This window comes from Homo sapiens, chromosome 1 (genome assembly GCF_000001405.40).
Source record: "Homo sapiens chromosome 1, GRCh38.p14 Primary Assembly".
Lineage (NCBI taxonomy): Eukaryota > Metazoa > Chordata > Mammalia > Primates > Hominidae > Homo > Homo sapiens.
Window position 1 is genome coordinate 52,982,446 of NC_000001.11, and position 27,370 is coordinate 53,009,815.

The 27,370-nt window shown below is 40.0% G+C and overlaps 1 protein-coding gene and 2 pseudogenes across 12 annotated transcripts in view; 2 read left to right on the forward strand and 1 right to left on the reverse strand.

The window, feature by feature from the left end:
- SCP2 (sterol carrier protein 2) overlaps positions 1-27,370 on the forward strand; it is a 124,423-nt gene that overhangs the window by 55,170 nt on the left and 41,883 nt on the right. For 6 of the 12 annotated variants that reach the window (NM_002979.5, XM_005271103.5, NM_001193600.2 and 3 more), the window contains one exon: positions 5,584-5,691. In NM_002979.5, coding sequence (NP_002970.2) covers positions 5,584-5,691 — 108 coding nt within the window. Of the gene's footprint in view, positions 1-5,583; positions 5,692-10,812; positions 11,788-20,342; positions 25,571-27,370 lie in introns of those variants that run through there. The other 6 variants (NM_001330587.2, NM_001007098.3, XM_047427507.1 and 3 more) reach the window with 5 other exon arrangements.
- Positions 9,337-11,258, reverse strand: RRAS2P1 (RRAS2 pseudogene 1; annotated as a pseudogene).
- TUBBP10 (tubulin beta class I pseudogene 10) lies at positions 12,121-13,872 on the forward strand (annotated as a pseudogene).

Genomic DNA, 27,370 nt, shown 5'->3' on the forward strand with positions numbered 1-27,370 from the left:
TGTAGTCCCAACTACTTGGGAGGCTGAGGCAGGAGAATGGCGTGAACCTGGGAGGCGGAGCTTGCAGGGAGCTGATATCATACCACTGCACTCCAGCCTGGGTGACAGAGCGAGACTCCATCTCAAAAAAACAAAAAAACAAAAAACTCTTCCAGTTGAGAACCACTGCGATAAGAATTATAGTATGCCTCCTTAAGCGTCTCCTTTGAGTTAATATTGTACCACTTCACATAAAATGTAGAAGCCTTGCAACCATATAGGTCCATTCACTGACTCCCCTTTGCCGTACACTGTCCCTTATGTTATAATTGTCATATGTGTTATATCTATTTACATTGAAAACCCCAATATATAATATTATAAGTTTTGCTTTCAACAGTCATACACTTAGATGTCTGTTATATGTCATGGGTAAAAATGTCACACATAATTTTAAAGATACTAAGAGGGAAAAAGTATTTTATACTTATCCAGATATTTATCATTTTTTGTTGCTCTTCATTCTTGAACACCCAAGTTTTTCTCTGTAATCATTTTCTTTAGCCTAAGGAACTTTTTGTAGCATTTTTTATAAAGCAGATCTTTTGGAGATGAATTCTCTTAGTTTTCCTTCAACTGAAAATGTCTTTGCTTAACCTTAATTCCTAAAGGAACTCTGGGCTGATTATAGAATTCTAGGTTGACAGGTCTTTTAGCACTTAAAACATGTTGTTTCAGTCTTCTGACCGCCATAGTTTCTAACGAGGAGTCATGGTCATTCAAATTGTTGTTTCTCTGTATGTGATGGGCCATTTTTCTCTAGCTATTCTCAAGATTTTTAGCAGTTTGATTGTGTAATGTCTAGGCATGGTTTTCTTTTAATTTATTCTCTGTTGTGTTTTCTGAGTTTCTTAAGTCTGAAAATGCAAAACTTTTACCAAATTTGGCAAGTTTTCAGCCATTATTTCTTTAAATGTATGTTCTGTCCCAATTTTTTCCTCCTCTTCTTCTGGACTTCCAATGATGCATATATTAGACCTTTGGATATTGTCCCATAGGTCCCTGAAACTGTTCACTTTGAATCCCCTTTTCTCTCTGTTCTTCACATTTGATAATTTATGTTGATATATCTTTAAATTCACTGACTCTTCCTTCATGTTCTTTCTACTCATGAACCATTCTAATGAGTTTTCTATTTCAAATATTGTATTTTCAGTTCTAAAATTTCCATTTGGTTCATTTTATAGTTTCTATTTCTCTGCTGAGAGCTTACATCTTTTTGTTCATTTCTAGTGGGCTTTCTTTACCTTGTAGTTCTAACAGCTGTTTTAAAGTCTTTAATAATTCCATAATCTGGGCTTTCTTGGGTTTTGCATCTGTTGATTGTCTTTTACCTTGAGAGTATTGGTTACATTTTCTGATTCTTTGTATAGCAAACAATTTTGGATTGTATCCTGGACAGGGTGAATGTCCTATTATATAGATCCTTTGGAGAATGTTGATGTTTTTGTTTTAGCAAGCATTTAAGCCAGTATGTTCTGACAATAAGTTCTGTCTTGCCTTCTGAGGGTGGTGGTTAAAGTCTTTGCTCAGCTCTCTAAATGTATGCCTACGTCAGAGTAAGCCTGAGACTTGTACAGGTCTATACACAGAATTAGGGGATCCTCTTCTCTGGCTCTCTCCACTATAGACTTCTTCCCTTACTCTCCAGCCTGCAGAGATTTCTTTTCCTAGTTCCTTTGGTTAGGAAGATGGGGTTTCTGTTAGAGTTTTAGCTACCTTTGCTGTTTCTGCTGCCATGCTGTTCCAGGGCTGTGCTCAACCTTGGGGCAAAGCTGTTGAGAGAGAGAGAGCCTAAAAAGAAAAAAAGACAACCAGGACCTCACCCTTATGCAGTGGCTTCTCCAAGTTTTGACTTGCTCTATAATCCCCCTGCTTTTATTTACTTTTCAGAGTCCTCAGGCAGTTTTTTTTATTTTTATTTTTATATCCAGTGTTTTCAGTTGTAATCAATGCAAGAGATAAACTGTAGTGAACATATTCTGCCTAATATGGAACTTAATCTAAAAGTTAAATATTTTATGTAGATACAGATATAAAATGATTACTTTCTTTTTTTTTTTTTTCTTTGAGATGGAGTTTCTCTCTTGTTGCCCAGGCTGGAGTGCAGTGGCGCTATCTCAGCTCACCACAACCTCCGCTACCTGGGTTCAAGTGATTCTCCTGCCTCAGCCTCCCGAGTAGCTGGGATTGCAGGCATGCGCCACCATGCCCAGCTAATTTTGTATTTTTAGTAGAGACGGGGTTTCACCATGTTGGCCAGGCTGGTCTCGAACTCCTGACCTCAGGTGATCTGCCCGCCTTGGCCTCCCAAAGTGCTGGGATTATAGGTGTGAGCCACCACACCCAGCTTTTCTTCTTTTTTTTTTTTTCCGAGACAGTTTTGCTCTTGCTGCCCAGGCTGGAGTACAATGGTGAGATCTCAGCTCACTGCAACCTCCCCTTCTCAGGTTCAGGCGATTCTCCTGCCTCAGCCTCCCGAGTAGCTGGGATTACAGGGGTACACCACCACGCCCGGCTAATTTTTGCATATTTTTTAGTAGAGACGGGATTTCACCATGTTGGTCAGGCTGGTCTCGAACTCCTGACCTCAGGTGATCCACCCACCCCAGCCTCCCAAAGTGCTGGGATTACAGGTGTGAGCCACCAGGCCTGGCCAAAATGATTACTTTCAAACTTATACTCCTTGCTTGAACTGCTTCTCCAACCTCTAGACTCAAGAATCCAGCTGCCTACTTTTTAGGGGTTTCTTTGGATGTCTCATAAGCATCTCAAACCTAAGTCCAAAATTGAGCTATGGATATTTTTCAAACTTTCTCCTCCCTCAGTCTTCCCCATCCTCCTGTTGCTTAAACTGGAAACCATCAGGCTTGAATTCTTTTCTCTCTCTCACAATCATCATTAAATCTATCTCTAAGTCCTGTTGGCTATGGACTCTACCTTCAAAATAAATCCAGAATATGACCACATCTCACCACTTTTGTCACTGCCAGCCTAGTGCAGAACAGCATCGTTTCTCATTTATATTATTGTTGGAGTCTTATGGCTGGTCCCGTGCTTCTGCCTTGTCTCTCCAGACTGAAGCTAGAATGTGCAGCAAATCAGTTCATTAATTCATTCAAAACCCAGTAGTTTCTCAACTCACTCAGACGAACAAGCCAAATATGATCTGTCCTCCTTACTCCCCACTCCCATCTCTGACTTCCTCTGCTTTTCTCTGAATCTTCTACTCTGCTGCAGCCACATTGGCTTCCTTCTTCAAGCACTGGAAGCTCGCTCCTGTTTCAGGGCCTTTGTTCCAAACATACATGATTTGCTCTCTCACTCCCTTCAGGTCTTTGACTAATGTCCTTCTCAGTGGAAGCCTTCTCCGATCACTTTGTTTGAAATATAAACCACTCACCTCCATCTTCCTTGTCTCAATGTGTCCTATACCCTTTCCCTGCTTTCTTTTTTCCCTTGGCATTTATCACCACTTTACATATTTCTTTACTTATTTTATATATTGTCTGTCTTTTCCTCACCCCTCTCCCCACATAACTTAAACTCCATGATAGTAGGGATTTTCGTTTGGTTCACTATTGTATCCATAAGTTCCTAGTTTAGTTTTTGGTACAGAACAGGTATAATAATTGTTTTCCAAAAGCGTATGCATTTGTTTTCCTATCTATGCTAGGGGAGAGCGTTCATTTACAGTACTTTAATCTCTGAATATTTTTAGTTGATGAGTTCAAGATAACTTCCCTTTGGAATCTTTTAATACTTTACAAGATTGTATATATTATAGGAAAAGTGTAGTGAATTATTCACTTTTAGGGGTTAGCTTGTGTTTAGTTTGCTATTACTTGCTACAGAAACAATATTTAGCAGTTTGTAAGTAGCAATAGTAGATAGATTTATCTCTTATGACTAGAGCCTCAGAGCAATTTCCAAGGTAGAAACATACCAAAAAATAAAAGAGAGAATGCCTTAGCCAATGGTTTTATCTATAACCTAGATTTAAAGCCAAATTAGAAGTGTCAGTCATCTAAAATCCTGTGATTAGTGTATTTCATTTTACCAACAGAGGAACTTTTGTTTTTGAAGGCAATATAATATATTAGCTGAGAACACAGGCTGTGGAGCCAGGCTCCCTGAGTATTAATCCTAGATCTCTTGCTGTTGCCTTGGTTGATTTCTTAATATCTCTGTCTGTTTTCTCATCTAGGAAATGAGAATGATAGCACCTACTTCATAGGATTGAATATTAAATTTTATAAATAGTCATCACTCAGTATCTGTGGGGTTTTTTTTCTAAGACCTCCCACAGATACCAAAATCCATGGAAGCTGCTTATATAAAATGGCATAATTTTTGCATATAACCTATGCACACCCTCCTGTATATTTTAAATAATCTCTAGATTACGTATAATAACTACATATCACTTCATTCACATGGATTCAATGTAGTACTCAGCACATACAAATTGAAGTTTTGCTTTTTGTAATTTTTTTCTTCTGTATATATATATATATATATATTTTTTTTTTTTTTTTTTTGAGACAGAGTTTTGCTCTTGTCGCCCAGGGGTGCACCACCATGCCTGGCTAATTTTTGTATTTTTAGTAGAGATGGGGTTTCACCATGTTGGCCAGGCTGGTCTCGAACTCCTGACCTCAGGTGATCTACCTGCCTCGGCCTCCCAAAGTTCTGGGATTACAGGCATCAGCCATGGTGCCCTGCCTCTTCTGAATATTTTTGATTTGTGGATGGTTGAATCCATGATGTGGAACCCATGGATGCTGACTATATATACAGAAAATAATTAGAACAAGAGCTGACCCAGAGTGAGTGCTCAAAGCTATTAGCTACCTTTGACAGCATTGCCACCATCATTACTATCATTATTTGGAGCGTCCACATCTTATTACTTTATCGTAAATAGATGTGGAAGACAATTTTATACAATACATCCATTTTTATTTACTTCTTAAGCATCTGGAAGAATGACCAAATGACCAGGAAATTGACAGGAACATTGAAGCCACCAAGCATGTGAAGTAATTTTTTCTTTAACCTTACTTTTGTGGCTCAACAGTGTTTTCAGACATTTCTCTTCATTTTATGAAAGTGCCTTTTTTCTCCTGTTTTTCCATATTTATTAAAAATACTTATATAGTATATAGCAGTACAGATGAAAATAGAAAAGAACACATTTTGGCAAAATTATGCATTTTTAAAGCTGACAGTTATTTTAGTTATAGCATTATATCCATTTCAGTTCTATTCTCCTAGTTCTCTGAATCTCTACCATATTTAGAGCAATTTTGGAAGTCAGAGAGCTCTAAGGAACTAATAGGAGCTTTTGTTTCATACAGGAAATGTTCTGAAAATGTAAGTATTTATTACTTTTAAAAGTGCTTATGTCAAATTATTGTTAGTTTGAACTGTTAAGAAATATTTGCTCCAAGAAATTCTTGGCTATATGGAAATCTTATAAAAGCATATCATTTGTTCTATTGTTACTATTAATATTTGTGAATACTATTTTTTCTTCTATAGGACAAGGTGCAACGCTGGTTGATAGAGGAGATAATACATATGGAGGAAAGTGGGTCATAAATCCTAGTGGTGGACTGATTTCAAAGGGACACCCACTAGGCGCTACAGGTAATGCTACATACAGATTTCATACATTTTAAAATCATTTTTTCCTTAAGTGTGAATGAGTTAGTCTTTCATTTGAATGAAAGATTATATTCTCTGAACTTGGTAGCTGGTGCTTTAAATGATTGTTTAGCTTCAATATTTTTGATGTTCCATTAAGTAGAGCACACTTAAATAATCTTCATTAATTGATGAGAATTTGAATTAATTAAAACTAAATTCAGGATGTTTCCAAATAGAGATCTTACTAGACCTGCTAAATAAGAATCATTTGAAATGAGCATGTTATTTATATGTAGTTGTATACATGGTTGACATTGCATGGAAATTATTTTCTCTTGAGACAACTGGACTAGAATTTATAAAGTAAGAATTTTACTATGGCTCTGCTGTTGACTGGCTGGCCGTGTGAAACTATTTTTATCAGTCAATCACTTTAACTTTTAATTCCTTAATTATAAAATGACAAACTTGTACAATGTGGTTTCTGTTTTTTTAAATAAAAAATTAAGCCCAAACCTCACCATGCAATTCCTTTTTTCTTTCTTTCTTTTCTTTTTTTTTTTTTTTGAGATGGAGTCTCGCTCTGTTGCCCAGGCTGGAAAGAAGTGGCACAATTTCGGCTCATTGCAGCCCCTGCCTCCCGGGTTCAAGCCATTCTCCTGCCTTAGCCTCCTGAGTAGCTGGGACTACAGGCTTGTGCCACCATGCCCAGCTAATTTTTGTATTTTTTTTTTTAGTAGAGATGGAGTTTCACCATGTTGGCCAGGCTGGTCTTGAACTCCTGACCTCAAGTGATCCACCTGCCTCAGCCTCCCAGAGTGCTGGGATTACCGGCATGGGCCACACACGGCCACAACATGCATTTTTAATATATCACAGTCTACCTTCAAATAGTGTTATGCCATTTTGTATATAACGTAAGATTTTTACAGCTGCCTATCTATTTACCTTCTCCTATCTTTTGTGTTATTGTTTCCATACACTTATTCCTAAGTATATTATAACCCTCACAATATACTATTATTATTGTTGCTTTAAACAATCTAATATCTTTCAAAGAAATCTAAGAATTATGGGGATGATCAGTGATGTTATGGGAAGTGGCAAAATAACAACATCCAAAAATCCTGTCCTTTATAAAAGTTCGGAGAACTCTGGCAAAAATTGTCAAGATCAACTTTTTCCATAACTTTAAAAATTAACCAGATTTACAACAATCTGTTGGGAGTGGAGGTGGGGGGTGCTTAAAACAACAACAAAGAACATAATCTCTGTGAGAGCAACGAGCTTTGTGGCATTTTCACCTGCCTTAACACCTCCCTCTTTCTGCAGCTCCACTGTAGCCTTGAAAACCTACAGCTTGCAGTCATGGTGAAAATTAGCAGCCTAGCTGGCACTGAGCAAGTCAGAACAGAGTTGGAGCTCTTTCAAAGCCCCTTCCTTAGAGAACTGTCATTATATGACCTGTCTGACAGTGTCCTGGTAAACCCCACTTGAAAGCTTTGTCTTTATTTCACCTCACTGAAAACTCACCCAGTGCAAAGAGTATTTTCCCTAGAGGCAATTGTCGAGAAAAATCAGCCACAACTGTTCAACAAAGTAGCTACCTCAGGTGCCAATTGGGGTAAACAACAAAATAACCAAAAAAAAGGAAAAGTTGGGGAGTAGGATGTCCATAGGGGGCTTTGAAAAGATCTGATATGTTCCTGAGAATCTAGAAGCCTAATGGCGTATATAAGGTCAGAGTTGTGTGCATGCTCAGGAAAGACCTGAGAAGGTCCTAAGCTCACCTCTGGCTAAACTTGGGGCTCTGCACAAGCAAAAGGCAAAGGCTAAGGTAGAATTGTAAACTGCCTGGCTGAGTACCACATTATGCAGGTAGAGGTCCAGTAAAGACCAGGAGACTTTTTAGTTCAGTCATTTAAGGACATCTCTGTCCAGTCAGTAGCTGAGGGAAGAGAAAATTCAGTGGCCATGTGGGACAAAGATTACAGACTTTATAGAATTAGCTTGGAAAAGTCACTAAATAAACAACCACAACAATAAACAGCAACAACAACAACAACAAACTGGGAAAGAGGAGGATTTGATTTTTAGAGAAGCTACATTATTTAAAATGTCCAGTTTTCAACAAAAAAAAAGAAAGACATGCAGATAAACAATAAAGGGTGACCTATGTACCTAGGAAAAAAAGCAGTCAATAGAGACTATCCCTGAGGAAGCCAAAACATTGGACTTACTAGACAAAGACTTTAACTAGCTATTTTAAATATATTAAAGGAAACCATATATAAAGAACTAAAGGAAAGTATGAGAACAATGTTTCTCCAGGTAGAGAATATTAATAAATAGAAATTATAAAAAAGACAACCAGGCACGGTGGGTCAGGAGATCAAGACCATCCTGGCTAACGCAGTGAAACACCGTCTCTACTAAAAATACAAAAAGTTAGCCAGGCGTGGTGGCGGGCGCCTGCAGTCCCAGCTACTTGGGAGGCTGAGGCAGGAGAATGGCGTGAACCCGGGAGGCGGAGCCTGCAGTGAGCCGAGATCATGCCACTGCACTCCAGCCTGGACGACAGAGTGAGACTCCGTCTCAAAAAAAAAAAAAAAAAAAAAAAAAAATTAAAGGTATAGGTGGAGAAGAAGAACCATTTAAGAATAATGAGAGGGAATGCTCAGTTAGCCAAGGAAGGAGAGTGTTTCAAAAGTAAGAGATTAGGCCACAAAAGTTAGATAGATAAAGAATGAAAAGTGTCCTTCAGATTTGGCTGTTACAAAGTCGTTGGCAATCTTGGAGCAATTTTGAAGAAGTGTTTTGCATGGAAGCAGATGAGATTCAGAAAGAATTATAAGTGAGAAAGTGGCAATAATAGTGCAGGTACACTTTTAGAAATAGTGGCTATGAATGGAAAGTGATATATATGTAAGGGATGTACCTGAATTATAGGTACGTGTTCTGTATGAATGAAGTCTTGGGTTTGAACCTAGCCTCTTCACTCTCTTTAGTATGTAGCTTAGCCAGTTAATCCTAGTTTCTTATCTATAAAATGGGAATATAGTACCTACCTTATAAGGCTGTTCTGTGGATTAAGTGAGGAAATATATGTATGTAAAGTATATAGTAGAGTCCCCCAAAAAGAGTAGGAACACAATAACTTCCAGAATTCCCTTCCCAACTACAAAAGGGAGCCATGATGGATCTGCTTAACTGGTTCTTGTTTGTTTGTTTGCCAGTAATAAACCTCTTGTTTTTTTTTTCTTTTTTCTTTTTTTTTTCCTTGAAACGGAGTCTTGCTTTGTCGCCCAGGCTGGAGCGCAGTAGCGCGATCTTGGCTCACTGCAACCTCCGCCTCCCAGGTTCAAGCGATTCTTCTGCCTCAGCCTCCCAAGTAGCCGGGATTATGGGCATGTGCCACCACGCCCAGCTAATTTTTGTATTTTTAGTGGAGACAGGGTTTCACCAGGTTGGTCAGGCTGGTCTTGAACTCCTGACCTTGTGATCTGCCTGCCTCGGCCTCCCAAAGTGCTGGGATTACAGGCATGAACCACCACGCCCAGCCCAAACCTCTTGTTTTTATCACAGTATGAAAAATAATTTTTAACCATTTTTGGAAAAGAATGTTCTTTAATTTGGTTTTTTTTTTTGTGATAACAGATCAATTTTAATTCTAGTACCTGAAGCTATACAAGGGTATGCTCTATAAACTTCATGGGACTGTTGTACACACTTGATAAAGTGACAACCGTGCAATACCACTTAGCATCTCAAAATCAGGAACATACTATTGAATTGCTTAAATACAATCCACAGAATTAAAAACAAAATCAGATGCCATCCACAGTTATACTAATTATCCATTAAAAGCTTACACTTAATACTTGAAATAACAATCAATATCTAGCAGGGAATACTGAAAGTGATTTCAGAGTCTCATCCTGTTGTACTCTGTTGGGAAGGTTTCTTGAGTAGATGTGTGACTGGCCAAAGATGGGTACAACCAAGACCAGACCAGCAAGTAAAAGTTCTACCACAGTTTCTGTAGTTTCCACTTGTTTTTCTTTGTCAGTTAAAAGTGAACAGTGAGAATTAAATACTTATCTTTACATATACACAAGGTATGCTATGAAAGCGTATCTGCTTACAAACATATAAAAATATTTGTTAACTAGTTTGATAAGAAAATAATGTATAAAAGTATATAGCAAAAACATTAATCATCTCTGACCCCAGAAAGATCAATTCCATATTTTATATTACAAACAAAAACAGTTTTAGTTTTTTGAATCCCTTACCCAGAAATACTTGAAAAGGAAGACAGACAGAAATTATTCCTTTTTACCCTTAGCGTGGCTGTGAAAAAGAGTTAAATTAAAAAACCAAGTACACTCAAATATCTAAGTCCTAAATGAGTCCAAATATTTGACCACGTAGAATATTACCATCTTCAAGAGTAGGAGCAGTAACACAGGCTTTTATGAGCAGTTTTTAATCCATAAATACAATAGGCATTTGGTATTTTGGCCACCAGAAAACAAAAGTTGTAGTATAAGTAAAGGTCTGAGATGGTTCACTTTTGTAGATTCAATTCAGTGTATTTAAGGTTAACAAAGGCTGACATTGAAATGTTTAAAGATAGGCAAAAATTCACATTAAAAAAACCCTATATTTCTATTTAGAGTAACAGTAGGCAGTGTGATTCCAAAAGTTAAAAATTATTTCACAACCTGTAGCTTCAGCTTGGCAAACAGCTTAGATTCCAAAACTGATTCATCTCTATTAAAATGTAAGCACTTAAAAAAAGAGCATGTCTGTGTATATAGACATATATTTTAAAGGAATCAGATAATCTTTGAAGCAGCCTTAGTGTTTCCTTTAAGTTTGTCTGGAAATGACCATTGTATTAGCTTCACAGAAAGGACTAGCCAGCTTCTTGGTCTAAGGCTAACATGGTGATCATTTGTCTAAGGCTAGAAAGGTACCAACAAGATGTAAACTGAGGAGAGGAAGAGAAGATGAGGGCTTTTCCTGGCAGTTGGTAGCTAAAACTGAAGGGATTCTAGAAAATGACACAATGGCAGCCTTTCTTGTCTTTTTCTTTCCGTGTTGGTTCTGGTGAAGGAGGACATTCCTGCTCTTGAAATTTCCTGATAACCCGGACAAGTTCATGGAAAGCTTGATCTACATTCATCCTAATCTTTGCTGATGCCTCCATGTATGTTACCTTAAGTTGCCGTGCTAACTGCCGTCCTTCTTCCTGTGTTACCTGTCTTTGATGATCCAGATCTGCTTTATTACCAATTAAAATCATTGGGAACTCATCACGATCCTTTACTCTGAGAATCTGTCTTTGAAACTTATAGATTTCTTCAAAACTGCCTCTATCTGTGACTGAAAAGACCAACAGGAAGCCCTCGCCAGTCCTCATATACTGTTCTCTCATGGCTCCAAGCTCTTCTTGTCCTGCTGTATCCAAAATATCTAGCCGGGCTGCTCTGTCATCTATCACACACTGCTTTGTGTAAGAATCTTCATTGGTTGGATCATAATCCGTTACAAAATAGGACTCCCAACTTAGGAAACAAAACATTTGTAATATGATTGAAGACTCCTGCATGCCTCCTCAATAATATTCCCCTCTCTCCTCCCCCAGCACCAAGAGGTAATCAATATCCTGAATTTGGTATCTGTCATTCTCATGCATTTATACAACATTAGTAATCATATGATAGTATTCCTAAGCTATGTTTTGGAGAGGACACCACTGCAAATCTTCAGCCCTATACTAGCTTTTATCGGTAGCCATCAATTGCAGTTTTAATAGAAATACAAATACATCAAGTGTCTGTTCTTTAATTTGTAAAGAAAATTTGTTTTCTAGCGTGACACCCTCAAGGTACCGTATCTGTATGTAAATGTTGTGCCCAATGCTACACAGACATTATTTTAAAACTATTTTCTGCCTTTGGTAAATAGACTAAACTGTTTTCTTTATTCCTCAAAAGAATTAGATCATACTTCAGTGTTGATTTTGTTGCTAATGGGACATGGAGATGTCTGGATGATAATAAATATTCCTGTGGTATGGTCACTGAAGCCTTTAAGAGTTATGCTGTAGTTTGTGTGTAAAGAAGTGACTTAAATCCTCCTTTCAGACAGCTTCCTTACGCATATAGGAAACCTCTGTTTCATTAGGAGATGAATATGATATTTCATTTTAGTTGTTCTTGTTGACATACAACTTTTTTCTCTTCTGAAATAGCATGTTTTTATTATAATTTGCTTGATTGCCATTATTAGATATTTTTGTCATGCCATCCACTGAAATACTCAGAAATCATGCTTTATAGTAACAATATAATTTTTCATATCTATATTTGTTATTAAAATTTAGATCTAATTTTTATACAATAAAATGCACAGTTCTGCCTCTCAGAACCTTCCTGCTGCCACATTTGCACCTTGCTGCTCTAGCCTCTGGGGTGCATTCCATCCTTTCAGCCTGCAACTAGCAGAGAAAAAAAGTTACATATTTTCTTGCCCCATGCATACCTTGAGGCGAGCAAAAAAATTAAAATAAATTTTAACCATGAGGGAAATCGTGCACATCCAGGCCTGTCAGTGTGGCAACCGGATGGGTGCCAAGTGCTGGGATGTGATCAGTGATGAACGTGAAATCGACCCCACCAGCACCTAACATGGGGACAGCGACCTGCAGCTGGACTGTGTCTCCATGTACTACAGTGAAGCCATAGATGGCAAATATGTTCCTTGTGCTAACCTGGTGGATCTAGAACCTGGGACCATGGACTCTGCTAGCTCAGGCCCTTTTGGCCAGGTGCTTAAACCAGACAACTTTGTTTTTGGTCAATCTGGGGCAGGCAACAACTGGGCCAAAGGCCACTACATAGAGGGGGCCAAGCTGGTTGATTCAGTTGTAGATGTGGTGCAGGAGGAGTAAGAGAGCTGTGACTGCCTGCAGGGCTTGCAGCTGACCCACTCAATGGGCTCTGGAATGGGTACTCTCTTTATCAGCAAGATCCGAGAAGAGTGCCCTGATTGCATCATGAACACCCTCAGTGTGGTGCCTCCACCCAAAGTGTCTGACACCGTGGTCGAGCCCTACAACATCACCCTCTCCATCCATCAGTCGGTAGAGAACACTGATGAGACCTACTGCATTGACAATGAGGCCCTCTATGACATCTGCTCCCGCACTTTGAAGCTGACCACACCAAACTATGGGGACTTGAACCACCTTGTCTCAGCCACCACAAGCAGTGTTACCACCTGTCTCCACTTCCCTGGCCAGCTCAATGCTGACCTCCGCAAGTTGGCAGTCAAACTGGTGCCCTTACCACATCTCCACTACTTCATGGCTGGCTTTGCCCTCTCACCAGCTGTGGAAGCTAGCAGCATCGAGCTTTCACAGTGCCCAAACTCATCAGGTAGGATTTCAATGCCAAGAACATAATGAGACCCCTGCCACAGCTTATATCTCACCGTGGCTGCTGTCTTTGTGGATGGATGTCCATGAGCAGTTGCTCAACGTGCAGAACCAGAACAGCAGCTACTTTGTGGAGTGGATCCCCAACAACATCAAGACAGCTGTCTGTGACATCCCACCTCATGGCTTCAAGATGGCGGTCACCTTAATCGGCAGCAGCACGGCCATCCAGGAGCTCTTCAGGTGCATCTTGGAGCAGTTCACTGCCATGTTCCCCTGGAAGGCCTTCCTCCACTGGTACACAGCTGAGGGCATGGATGAGACGAGAGTTCAACAAGGCTGAGAGCAACATGAACGACCTCGTCTCTGAGTATCAGCAGTACCAGGATGCCACCACAGAAGAGGAGGAGGATTTTGGTGAGGAGGCTGAAGAGGAGGCCTAAGGCAGAGCCCCCATCGCCTCAGGCTTCTCAGTTCCCTTAGCCATCTTACTCACCTGCCCCTTTTCTCTACCTCAGAATTTGTGTTTGCTGCCTGAAACACAAATCTAGATCTAGAACAGTGCTTAGCACGTAGTAGGCACTCAATAAGTATTTGTCTGTTGAATGTTTCCTTTCTCTTTCCACTCTGGGAAGCCTAGGTTTCTGCCACTCTGGGTGACCCTGTATTTCCTTCTGGTGCCCATCCCTTCCATCTGTCCAGTTAATATTTCCTCCTTTTTAAAATCTCCAAGAAGCTGGGTCTCATCCAGATCTCATTTAGAACCAACTGGGTTTTGAAAGCCCATGTGGATAATGGCCACCATCCTAAGCCCAAAGCGAAAGATGGTAGAAGGTGGCAGGTAGAAGTCACTGCAAGGAAGGGGATGGGATTTTCCATCCTAAAAGTTTTGGAGAGGGAAATCCAGGCTATTAAAGTCATAATTTCCAGGTATTTCTATTTTCCATTTCTCAGCTTCAAGAGAGGTGTTAGCAGTATTTTCTCCATTTTCAGTCTCCCTCCAAGCTCTGCCCTTTGGAGAGGTCTGCCCCACTCTGTCAAGTGGAATCTTTCCCTCTCTGGCTCTACCTCTCTCATATATTGAATTCCTCCCTTTCCCCTGATTAGAGAAGGGGATCAAGGGGGGAAAGAGATCAGCCTTGGTCCCTAGGCCTCCAGAAATGCCCTCCTAATCTCCACCTTTTCTTAACCCCCAAAAAGGATTAACATCCCTGACTTTATGTGGGATAGTATATACTGCCACATCAGTGTTTGAGTCATTCCCCAGAGGGAAGGGGAACCCTCCTCCATCTTTTTTGCAACATCTCCTATCTTCCTTTTGCTGTTGCTTTTTTCCCACTTACACTTGGTTTTGTTCTATCCTACACTACAGATTTCTATTTTGAACTTGCTGCCTTTTTTCATATTGAAAATGTGACATTGCTCCAAGAGCCAAAAATAAATGTGAATTGGAAAAAAAAATGCACAGTTCTCACAAAAATGTGTACACTGATGTTTACAGCAGCATTATTCATAATAGTCAAAAGCTGGAAACAAGCCAGATGTCTATCATCAACTGATGAGCAAAATGTGGTATATTTATTTTTATTTTTTTAGATTTTTTTCCAGACAGTCTCACTCTGTCCCCGAGGTTAGAGTGCAGTGATGCGATCTTGGCTCATTGCAACTTCTGCCTCCCTGGTTCAAGTGATTCTCCTGCCTCAGCCTCCTGAGTATGTGGGATTACAGGCACCTGCCACCATGCCCAGCTAATTTTTGTATTTTTAGTAGAGACAGGGTTTCATTATGTTGGCCAGGCTGGTCTCAAACTCCTGACCTCAAATGATCCACCCTCCTCGGCCTTCCAGATGTGAGCCACTGTGTCCGGCCAAAATGTGGTATATTTATACTATGGAATATTTTTTGGCCATGAAAGGAATGAGGTACCGAAATATGCTACAATATAGATGAACCTTGAAAACATTTTTAAATTCCATTTTTATGACATGTCCAGAATAGGCAAATCCATAGAGACAGAAAATAGATTAGTGGTTGCTTAGGACTAGGGAACACAGGAGAGAGATAACTGAAGGGTATGTGTGGAGTTTCTTTTTGAGATGATGAAAATGTCCTAAAATTGATTGTGGTGCTAGTTGCACAACTCTGTGAATACACTAAAAACCACTGAATTATATACTTTAAATCGATAATTGTTTTTGAAAATTATATACATCCAGGTAGCAACCAGCCAAAACCAGATCAAAAACATTTTCATTACCCCCAAAAGTTCTAGCCTGTCTATTTCCAGTCAATCCTCTGGCCTCCCTGAAACATTTCTCTCTCACTCTCCACCACCACCAGGCTGAGATGTTTGACTTCTCTCGTGATAGATTAGTTTTGCTGATCCTAGAACTTCATATAAATGGAATCATACAGCACATGTATGTATTCTTTTGTGTTTGGCTTCTTTCACTCAGCAGATTATAAAATTAATACAAGTTTTTCTTTTTATCAGTAGTTCTTTTTTATTGCCAAGTAGTATTCTATTGTTGAAATATATCAGTTTGCTTATCCATTGTCCTGTGGATGGATATTTGAATTGTTTCCTGTTTAGGGCTGCATGAATAAAATTGCTATGAATGTTTGTATACAAGTCTATTTGGAGACATATATTTTTATTTATCTTGGGTTGATAACCTGGAGCAAAATTTCTGGGTCATAGGACAGATCTATATGAGTAACTGTCAAAAAGGCCAGGTGCAGTAGCTCACGCCTGTAATCCCAGCACTTTGGGAGGCTGAGGTGGGAGGATTGCTTGAAGCCAGGAATTTGAGACCGGCCTGGGCAGCAAAGCAAGACTTTGTCTCTACAAAATATTAAAAAATTAACTGGGAGCAATAGCATGCACCTGTAGTCTCAGCTACCCAAGAGGCCGAGGTAGGGGGATTGCTTGAGCCCAGGAGTTTGAGACCGGCCTGGGCAACATGGTGAAACCCCATCTCTACAAAAAATACAAAAATTAGTCAGGCGTGGTGGCGCACGTCTGTGGTCCCAGCTACCTGTGTCTGTCCATACTTTTGCAGGTATATCCATAGGATAAATTTCAAACAGTGGAATCATTGTGTCAAAGGGTAGTATACATTTAAAAATCAGTGCAGATTGCCAAATTTTCTTCAGAAAAGATTGTTATCGGCGTATATTTCCAACAGCAGAGTATGAGACTGCCTCTTTTCCTTCAGTCTTGTTAATATTGGATTTTTTCCTCAAATGTTAAAAATTTTGCCAGTCTTGACAGGTCATCTGTTTTTCTTCCCTGGGTACTGAACAGGTAACCTAAAACACCCCAGGAAGATAGAATTTACTCAATTTTTAAATATTCAAAGAGAGACTCGCATTCAAAGAGATACCTCAGGAAATCTGCAGTATCCTTTGATAACCCTTTCTAACATTTGAGTCTACACTGTTGGTAAATTTTTCCTTTTATCATTAATCTTTGAGATATTATGTCTAGTGATGGTATAGCATTTTTTGGGAAAAAAATTATGAATCTTGATGACTTGAGTGGTAGTCTGAATAGGGATGAGGAATTATTGAAAAGTAAATGTTTCCTTGCTACATATTGAGGATTTGGATATACTTCGAGGAAATCTGGCACATGGCCATTAGCTGTAATGTGCCCCAAGACAGAATTCAGACTTATTGAATTTATATCACAATGACAGTTATGAGTAGCTTAAACATTTTTTCTCTAGTTACTTGGATAACAAACTGCAATAGAATTCTAAGAGATTCAGAAAATGGTCAAGCGAAGTTCCAAAATATGTTAAGACTAGTGATGAGGGTGTAAGATTCTCTTCTGTAAATGGTGTTAATTTAATTGTAAGGCAGTGCTACTTTGGTTGGGAACTCAGTATTGGGGAATTAGCTTTAAAAATTAAAGCTTCATGATACTGGTTTCTGATTTTGTTTAGATCTGGATGAAAGTTTCTACCTGCCATAACAGTATCAATAGTAAAAGAAAATTGTAGTTTTCAGCATTTGAATTGAGTATTCTTTTGTTCATTGTTAGTTTAAAAACATTAATTCCTTTTAGATTTCCATTCAGGAAAATTACATTAAACTTGAACTTTTTTTGATTACTTTGCAGTGATCGTATGACAAAAAACACATTAGTGTTCAGGTAATAATGTCATATTTTATTCCAGTTTTCAAAGTGCTTTTACATATACTATCCAACACTTACTGAACACTTGTTTTTTTTTTTTTTTTTTTGAGACAGAGTCTTACTCTGTTGCCCAGGCTGGAGTACAGTGGCATGATCTCAGCTCATTGCAACCTCTGCCTCCCAGGTTCAAGTGATTCTTCTGCCTCAACCTCCGGAGTAGCTGGGATTACAGGGACCTGTCACCATGCCCGGCTAATTTTTGTATTTTTAGTAGAGCTGGGGTTTCACTATGTTGGCCAGGCTGGCCTCGAACTACTGACCTCAAGTGATCCACCTTCCAAAGTGCTGGGATTACAGGCGTGAGCTGTCACACCCGGCCTGGTCACTTGTTTTAAATGAATAAATGTTGGACATGGTGGCTCATGCCCATAATCCCAGCACTTTGTGAGGCCAAGGCAGGAGGATAGCTTGAAGCCAGGAGTTTGAGACCAGCCTGGGCAACAAAGCGAGACCCTAGTTTCTACCAAAAAAAAAAAAAAAAAAGAAAGAATAAGTAAAATTTGGCTTTAGTTTATTCTTAGCTATCTCTACTTTTTAAAAAATCCATATTAATGTCTGTAATCTACTGAAAGGACATGAAAGTGCCTTTGAGATAAAGCTCTTGACAAAGGATTATTGATTGCTTTGAAGCTAGAAGTGGGTTTTTTTAGTTTGGCCTTTTGTCGTAGTTCAGCCTGGCCTTTTAGGCCTTTTAGAAAGGCCTCTGTGCCTTTCCATAGGCTTCAACCTAGTGTTAGGTCCTGATCTTCTGTTATTCAGTCAACATCAGTTCAGTAGTGACTTATTGTGCACCCACCTCATCATTAGGTACTGTAGGGCTGTGAAATACGAGGTCTACTCATAGACCAATTCGGAGCCTCCTGAAGCTTTTAAAAGTATATGTTCTTGCCTGAGTGTGGTGGCTTATGCCTGTAATCCCAGCATTTTGGGAGGCTGAGGCGGGCAGATCGCTTGAGCTCAGGAGTTCGAGACCAACCTGGGCAAGATGGTGAAACCCTGTCTCTACAAAATGCAAAAATTAGCCGGGCCTGATGGTGCATACCTGTAGTCCCAGCTACTCGGGAGCCTGAGGTGGGAGGGTAGCTTGAGCCCAGTAGGCAGAGGTTGCAGTGAGCTGAGATCATGCCACTACACTCCAACCTGTGTGGTAGAGCCAGACTTTGTCTCCAAAAAAAGAAAAAAATTATATATATATATTACATATGTTCTCTCTCTCTATATGTATGTTCCTGTCCTACCCTTAGACATTTTCTTGGGTCTGGGTTGGTCCTAAACAATTTATATTTTTTTAAAGTTCCGCCAGAGCTTCTCATGCATAGCCAGATTTGAGGGCTAGGGTTAGGATATACAAGGTAACTACTAGTCTCAGGAAGTGTATAAGAGGCAGATAATACAAGAACACAAATACTTATATATTTAAATAAGTAATTATAATACAAGGCAGAATGTGCTGTAGAAGAAGTACAAAGCAGAAGTATGAAGAGGAGAAAAAGGGAAAGGAGGATGGCAGGGTCATGAAGATTTGCTAAATCCCATCACATGCCTGGTGTTTTGCCAGCATTTCTATCTACTTGAGTTTTGGGGAAGGAGATGCACAAAGAGGAAGCATGTTTAAACCAAACTGTTTGCTTTTACCAAACAGGTTTAATTCCTTCTTGCCTATACAAACTCTACCTTTGTTATTTTCTCAATAATAATACACTGTTCTAAGTATACTTCATGTACAAGTGCATTCAATTTTCATATCGATTTTTCTCTTTTACAAAAGAAGAAAATAGAGGCATGGAGAGTTTAAATGATTTGCATGAAGTCATCAAGCTAGAGAGTGGCAAAGCTAAGATTCAAACACAGGCTATGTATTCCTAGCGTCCAGGGTCTTAACCATTATACTGTTCTTCAGTGTCCTTTCCTCACTGGAAACGCCCATCTTCAAGTGCTCTCTCAAATGCTATCCACCTTATGAAGCTTTTCCTGTTTCACTGATTCTTTCCATAGATTGAATTAATCTTTCCCTTTTCTGAACTCCTATACTTTCTCAGTACTTTTCTTTTGACATTTATGCTCATAGTATATATTATCATTATTTATAGGCTTTAAAAAAATCTTCCCTATTTAGGCTGGGTGCGGTGGCTCATGCCTGTAATCCCAGCACTTTGGGAGGCCAAGATGGGTGGATCATGAGGTCAGGAGATCGAGACCATCCTGGCTAACATGGTGAAACCCCGTCTCTACTAAAAATTCAAAAAATTAGCTGGGTGTGGTGGCAGGCGCCTGTAGTCCCAGCTACTCAGGAGGCTGAGGCAGGAGAATGGCGTGAGCCTGGGAGGCGGCGGAGCTTGCAGTGAGCCGAGATCACGCCACTGCACTCCAGCCTGGGTGACAGAGTGAGACTCCGTCTCAAAAAAAAAAAAAACAAAGAAAGAAAAAAGAAAAAAATATCTTCCCTATTTAAGAGCCTATGAAGTCAGGATTCATATTTCATTTGTCTCTCTACCTTGAACAGTGTGCAATACATTGCATATTTAAAGGGATAGTTGAATATATTATTGCTCCTTTAACATCTAGAACGTGGCATGGAGCAAAGGGAATACATTTGTTTAATGTGGGAAGAATTAGGATCATTAGGAAGAATTCATTGGAAGTTATATTTTGGCCGGATACAAGAGAACTTTCTAACATGGCTTCTCAAAAATGGAATAGGTTGCCTCCTGAGAGCATGCATTTACCTGTCAGAGAGGCTGTGCACAAAAAATACATGTAACAACTTGATAGGAATGTTGTAAGGAGAATTTTGCCCATCTGTTGGGCCTTAGATTTGATGAATTCATAGATCCTTTTCAATTCTATTATAAGATGCTCTGATCTCCTGTGCGAAGTAATTATTTCTTTTTCTGCATTCACATAGTTCTTGATGTTTCTAATGACACGTATATTATTATTCTATCCTGTGATTTTTGTTTACATGTTTCAGTACTTTTAAAGGCATTATAAACTTCTTAGGTCTTAAGAATTTGGGTGAAAATGATGTGAGAAGAAGTGGAATTTTAACCAAGGGACCGAGCATTTTCAAATCAAACCATGGCTTATCTCGTCTACTCTGTAAGAGGTTGCCAAAATAAATCCTAGGACGATGACTGGTAAGGCCTAAATCCAATATAAACTCTTAAAAAGCCAGCAAGTCAGTAAGAGCTAATTAGCTTTTCACCAAAATTTCTTTTTTACCTTTCATCATATCCTCCAGGCCACCCATCCTTGTTTCCATTGCCCAGAGTTTTGCATTTTTACCACTGCAATGTGAGGAGAGGTAAATTTTATCATTAAACTCTATCTGTGCCAGGACAAATGGAGCCCAGGAGATGGTGTCTACTCTAGATACCTGTTGCTAGCTAGAGATAACTAGGAGAAAGCCCTGAATTTCTGTTTCTATTTCTTTTCTTTTTTTATTTTTGAAACCAGGATTTCGCTCTGTTGCTCTGGCTGGAGTGCAGTGGCATGATCATGGCTCATTGTAGCCTCGATTTCTTGGGCTCAAATGATTCTACTATCTCAGTCTCCCAAGTAGTTGGGACTGCAGGCACGCACCTTCATACCTGGCTAATTTTTTACATTTTTGGTAGAGACGGGCTTTCGCCATGTTGCTTAGGCTGGTCTCGAACTCCTGGGATAAAGCAATCTGCCCATGTTGGCTTTCCAAAGTGCTGAGATTATAGGCATGAGCCATCATGCCTTCTTTTTCTTTTTTTGAGATAGAGTCTTCCTCTGTTGCCCAGGCTGAAGTGCAGTGCAAACATGGTGCAAACATGCTTACTGCAGTCTCTACTTCCTGGGCTCAAGTGATCCTCCCGCCTCAGTCTCCCAAGTAGCTGGGACCACAGGTGCACACCATCATGCCCAGCTAATTTTATTTTATTTTTTCTTTTGTAGAGATGGGGTCTCCCTATGCTTCCCAGGCTGGTCTCAAACTCCTGGGCTCAAGTGGTCCTCTCTCCTTGGCCTCCCCAAAAGCTGGGATTACAGGCGTGAGTCACCACACCCAGCCCCTTTTTCTTTCTTCACAATTTCACGGATAGAAAATTCATTGTTACTGTAGATCTTAGCAACCTCAGCATGCCATTTTTTTCCCTTAAAGTTGGGAACTTCCACCTTTTCATTTAAAGGAAGCACTTGTATGCACATCTGAATCGCCACTTCACTCCTCTTGCGCTTTGGGGCCATCATTAAGTAAACTAAGGATGACTTGAACACGAGCAGTACCCATCACAGTACCCATCACAGTCATTCTAATAACAAAGATAGCTACTAACTGACTAACGGGTGGGTGGGATGTACCACTTGGATATGCTGGGCAAAGGGATGATTCACATCCCAGGTGGGGTGGAGCTGAATGGTGCGAGATTTTATCATGCTACTCAGAACAGCATGCAACTTAAAACTTATGAATTGTTTATTTCTGGCATTTTCTATTCAATATTTTTAGACTGTAATCGACTGAGGGTAACTGAAACTGTGGAAAGTGAAACCATGGATGTGAGGGCACTACTGTATTTTACTTTTTTTTGAAATATATTTTACATGTGATAGATAATTTTGTCAGGCCTCTGAGCCCAAGCTAAGCCATCATATCCCCTGTGACCTGCACGTATACATCCAGATGGCCTGAAGCAACTGAAGATCCACAAAAGAAGTGAAAATAGTCAGTTCCTGCCTTAACTGATGACATGCCACCATTGTGATCTGTTCCTGCCCCACTCTAACTGATCAATTGACTTTGTGACAATACATCCTCCCCACCCTTGCGATAATGTATTTTGTGATATTCACCGCCCTTGTGAATGTACTTTGTAGGGTATACCCTCCCTGCCTTTAAGAAGGTTCCAAGATGGCCAAATAGGAGCAGCTCCAGTCTACAGCTCCCAGCGTGAGTGACGCAGAAGATGGGTGATTTCTGCATTTCCAACTGAGGTACCAGGTTCATCTCACTGGGGCTTGTCGGACAGTGGGTGCAGTCCACGGAGTATGAGCTGAAGCAGGGCAGGGCATTGCCTCACCCGGGAAGTGCAAGAGGTTGGGGAATTCCCTTTCCTAGCCAAGGGAAGCCGTGACAGATGGTACCTGGAAAATTGGGACACTCCCACCCTAATACTGCGCTTTTCCAATGGTCTTAGCAAATGGCACACCAGGAGATTATATCCCATGCCTGGCTTGGAGGGTCCCACACCCATGGAGCCTCGCTTGCTGCTAGCACAGCAGTCTGAGATTAAACTGCAAGGTGACAGCGAGGCTTGGGGAGGGGCATCCGCCTTTGCTGAGGCTTGAGTAGGTAAACAAAGTGGCTGGGAAGCTTGAACTGGGTGGAGCCCATCGCAGCTCAACGAGGCCCGCCTGCCTCTGTAGACTCCACTTCTTGGGGCAGGGCATAGCTGAACAAAAGGCAGCAGAAACTTCTGCAGACTTAAACGTCCCTGTCTGACAGCTTTGAAGAGAGTAATGGTTCTCCCAGCATGGAGTTTGAGATCTGAGAATGAACAGATTGCCTTAAGTGGGTCCCTGACCCCCGAGTAGCCTAACTGGGAGACACCTCCCAGTAGGGGCTGACCAACACCTCATACAGCCGGGTGTCCCTCTGAGATGAAGCATCCAAGGGAAGGATCAGGCAGCAACATTTGCTGTTCTGCAATATTTGGTGTTCTGCAGTCTCCGCTGGTGATACCCAGGCAAACAGGGTCTGGAGTGGACCTCCAGCAAACTCCAACAGACCTGCAGCTGAGGGTCCTGACTGTTAGAAGGAAAATTAACAAACAGAAAGGACATTCACACCAAAACCCCATCTGTACGTCACCATCATCAAAGACCAAAGGTAGATAAATCCACAAAGATGAGGAGAAACTAGAGCAGAAAAGCTGAAAATTCTAAAAATCAGAGTGCCTCTTCCCTCCAAAGGAGCACAGCTCCTCACCAGCAATGGAACAAATTTGGACGCAGAGTGACTTTGATGAGTTGAGAGAAGAAGGCTTCAGATGATCGGTAATAACAAACTTCTCTGAGCTAAAGGAGGATGTTCAAACCCATCGCAAAGAAGCTAAAAACCTTGAAAAAAAGATTAGACGAATGGCTAATTAGAATAAACAGCATAGAGAAGACCTTAAATGACCTGATGGAGCTGAAAACCATGGCACAAGAACTATGTGACACATGCCAAAGCTTCAGTAGCCGATTTGATCAAGTGGAAGAAAGGGTATCAGTGATTGAAGATCAAATGAATGAAATGAAGTGAGAAGAGAAGTTCAGAGAAAAAAGAATAAAAAGAAATGAACAAAGCCTCCAAGAAATATGGGACTATGTGAAAAGACCAAATCTACGTCTGACTGGTGTACCTGAAAGTGAGGGGGAGAATGGAACCAAGTTGGAAAACACTCTTCAGGATATTATCCAGGAGAACTTCCCCAACCTAGCAAGGCAGGCCAACATTCAAATTCAGGAAATACATAGAACGCCACAAAGATACTCCTCGAGAAGAGCAACTCCAAGACACGTAATTGTCAGATTCACTAAAGTTGAAATGAAGGAAAAAATATTAAGGGCAGCCACAGAGAAAGGTCGGGTTACCCACAAAGGGAAGCCCAACAGACTAACAGCGGATCTCTCGGCAGAAACTCTACAAGCCAGAAGAGAGTGGGGGCCAATATTCAACATTCTTAAAGAAAAGAATTTTCAACCCAAAATTTCATATCCAGCCAAACTAAGCTTCATAAGTGAAGGAGAAATAAAATCCTTTACACACAGGCAAATGCTGAGAGATTTTGTCACCACCAGGCCTGCCTTACAAGAGCTCCTGAAGGAAGTACTAAACATGGAAAGGAACAACTGGTACCAGCCACTGAAAAAACATGCCAAATTGTAAAGATCATTGATGCTAGGAAGAAACTGCATCAACTAATGAGCAAAATAACCAGCTAACATCATAATGACCAGGATCAAATTCACACATAACAATATTAACCTTAAATGTAAATGGGCTAAATGCTCCAATTAAAAGACACAGACTGGCAAATTGGATAAAGAGTCAAGACCCATCAGTGTGCTGTATTCAGGAGACCCATCTCACGTGCAGAGACACACATAGGCTCAAAATAAAGGGATGGAGGAAGATCTACCAAGCAAATGGAAAACAAAAAAAAGCAGGGGTTGCAATCCTAGTCTCTGATAAAACAGACTTTAAACCGACAAAGATCAAAAGAGACAAAGAAGGCCATTACATAATGATAAAGGGATCAATTCAACAAGAAGAGATAACTATCCTAAATATATATTCACCCAATACAGGAGCACCCGGATTCATAAAGCAAGTCCTTAGAGACCTACAAAGAGAATTAGACTCCCACACAATAATAATGGGAGACTTTAATACCCCACTGTCAACATTAGATCAACGAGAGAGAAAGTTAACAAGGATATCCAGGACTTGAACTCAGCTCTGCACCAAGTGGCCTTAATAGACATCTACAGAACTCTCCACCCCAAATCAACAGAATATATATTCTTCTCAGCACCACATCACACTTATTCCAAAATTGACCATGTAGTTGGAAGTAAAGCACTCCTCAGCAAATGTAAAAGAACAGAAATTATAACAAACTGTCTCTCAGACCATAGTGCAATCAAACTAGAACTCAGGATTAAGAAACTCACTCAAAACCGCTCAACTACATGGAAACTGAACAGCCTGCTCCTGAATGACTACTGGGTACATAATGAAATGAAGGAAGAAATAAAGATGTTCTTTGAAGCCAATGAGAACAAAGACACAACATACCAGAATCTCTGGGAAACATTTAAAGCAGTGTGTAGAGGGAAATTTATAGCACTAAATGTACACAAGAGAAAGCAGGAAAGATCTAAAATTGACACCCTAACATCACAATTAAAAGAACTAGAGAAGCAAGAGCAAACACATTCAAAAGCTAGCAGAAGGCAAGAAATAACTAAGATCAGAGCAGAACTGAAGGGGATAGAGACACAAAAAAACCCTTCAAAAAATCAATGAATCCAGGAGCTGGTTTTTTGAAGCGATCAACAAAATTGATAGACCGCTAGCAAGACTAATACAGAAGAAAAGAGAGAAGAATCAAATAGATGCAATAAAAAATGATAAAGGGGATATCACCACCGATACCACAGAAATACAAACTACCATCAGATAATACTATAAACACCTCTACTCAAATAAACTAGAAAATCTAGAAGAAATGGATAAATTCCTGGACACATACACCCTCCTAAGACTAAACGAGGAAGAAGTTGAATCCCTGAATAGACCAATAACAGGCTTTGAAATTGAGGCAATAATTAATAGCCTACCAACCAAAAAAAGTCCAGGACCAGACGGATTCACAGCCGAATTCTACCAGAGGCACAAAGAGGAGCTGGTACCATTCCTTCTGAAACTATTCCAATCAATAGAAAAAGAGGGAATCCTCCCTAACTCAATTTATGAGGCCAGCATCATCCTGATACCAAAGCCTGGCAGAGACATAACAAAAAAAGAGAATTTTAGACCAATATCCCTGATGAACATTGATGCAAAAGTCCTCAATAAAATACTGGCAAACCAAATCCAGCAACACATCAAAAAGCTTATCCACCACGATCAAGTTGGCTTCATCCCTGGGATTCAAGGCTGGTTCAACATATGCAAATTAATAAATGTAATCCATCATATAAACAGAACCAAACACAAAAACCACATGATTATCTCAATAGATGCAGAAAAGGCCTTTGACAAAATTCAACAGCCCATCATGCTAAAAACTCTCAATAAACTAGGTATTGATTGGACATATCTCAAAATAATAAGAGCTATTTATGACAAACCCACAGCCAATATCATACTGAATGGGCCAAAACTGGAAGCATTCCCTTTGCAAACTGGCACAAGACAGGAATGCCCTCTCTCACCACTCCTATTCAACATAGTGTTGGAAATTCTGGCCAAGGCAATCAGGCAGGAGAAAGAAATAAAGGGTATTCAATTCGGAAAAGAGGAAGTCAAATTGTCTCTGTTTGCAGATGACATGATTGTATATTTAGCAAACCCCATCGTCTTAGCCCAAAATCTCCTTAAGCTGATAAGCAACTTCAGCAAAGTCTCAGGGTACAAAATCAATGTGCAAAAATCACAAGCATTCCTATACACCAATAACAGACAAACAGCCAAATCATGAGTGAACTCCCATTCACAATTGCTTCAAAGAGAATAAAATACCTAGGAATCCAACTTACAAGGGATGTGAAGGACCCCTTCAAGGAGAACTACAAACCACTGCTCAACGAAATAAAAGAGGACACAAACAAATGGAAGAACATTCCATGCTCATGGGTAGGAAGAATGAATATCGTGAAAATGGCCGTACTGCCCAAGGTAATTTATAGATTCAGTGCCATCCCCATCAAGTTACCAATGACCTTCTTCACAGAATTGGAAAAAACTACTTTAAAGTTAATATGAAACCAAAAAAGAGGCCGCATTGCCAAGACAATCCTAAGCCAAAAGAACAAAGCTGGAGGCATCACGCTACCTGACTTCAAACTATACTACAAGGCTACAGTAACCAAAACAGCATGGTACTGGTATCAAAACAGAGATATAGACCAATGGAACAGAACAGAGCCCTGAGAAATAATACCACACATCTACAACCATCTGATCTTTGACAAACCTGACAAAAACAAGAAATGGGGGAAGGATTCCCTATTTAGTAAACGGTGCTGGGAAAACTGGCTAGCCATATGTAGAAAGCTGAAACTGGATCCCTTCCTTACACCTTATACAAAAATTAATTCAAGATGGATTAAAGACTTAAATGTTAGACCTAAAACCATAAAAACCCTAGAAGAAAACCTAGGCAATACCATTCAGGCCATAGGCATGGGCAAGGACTTCATGACTAAAACACCAAAAGCAATGGCAACAAAAGCCAAAATTGACAAATGGGATCTAATTAAACTGAAGAGCTTCTGCACAGCAAAAG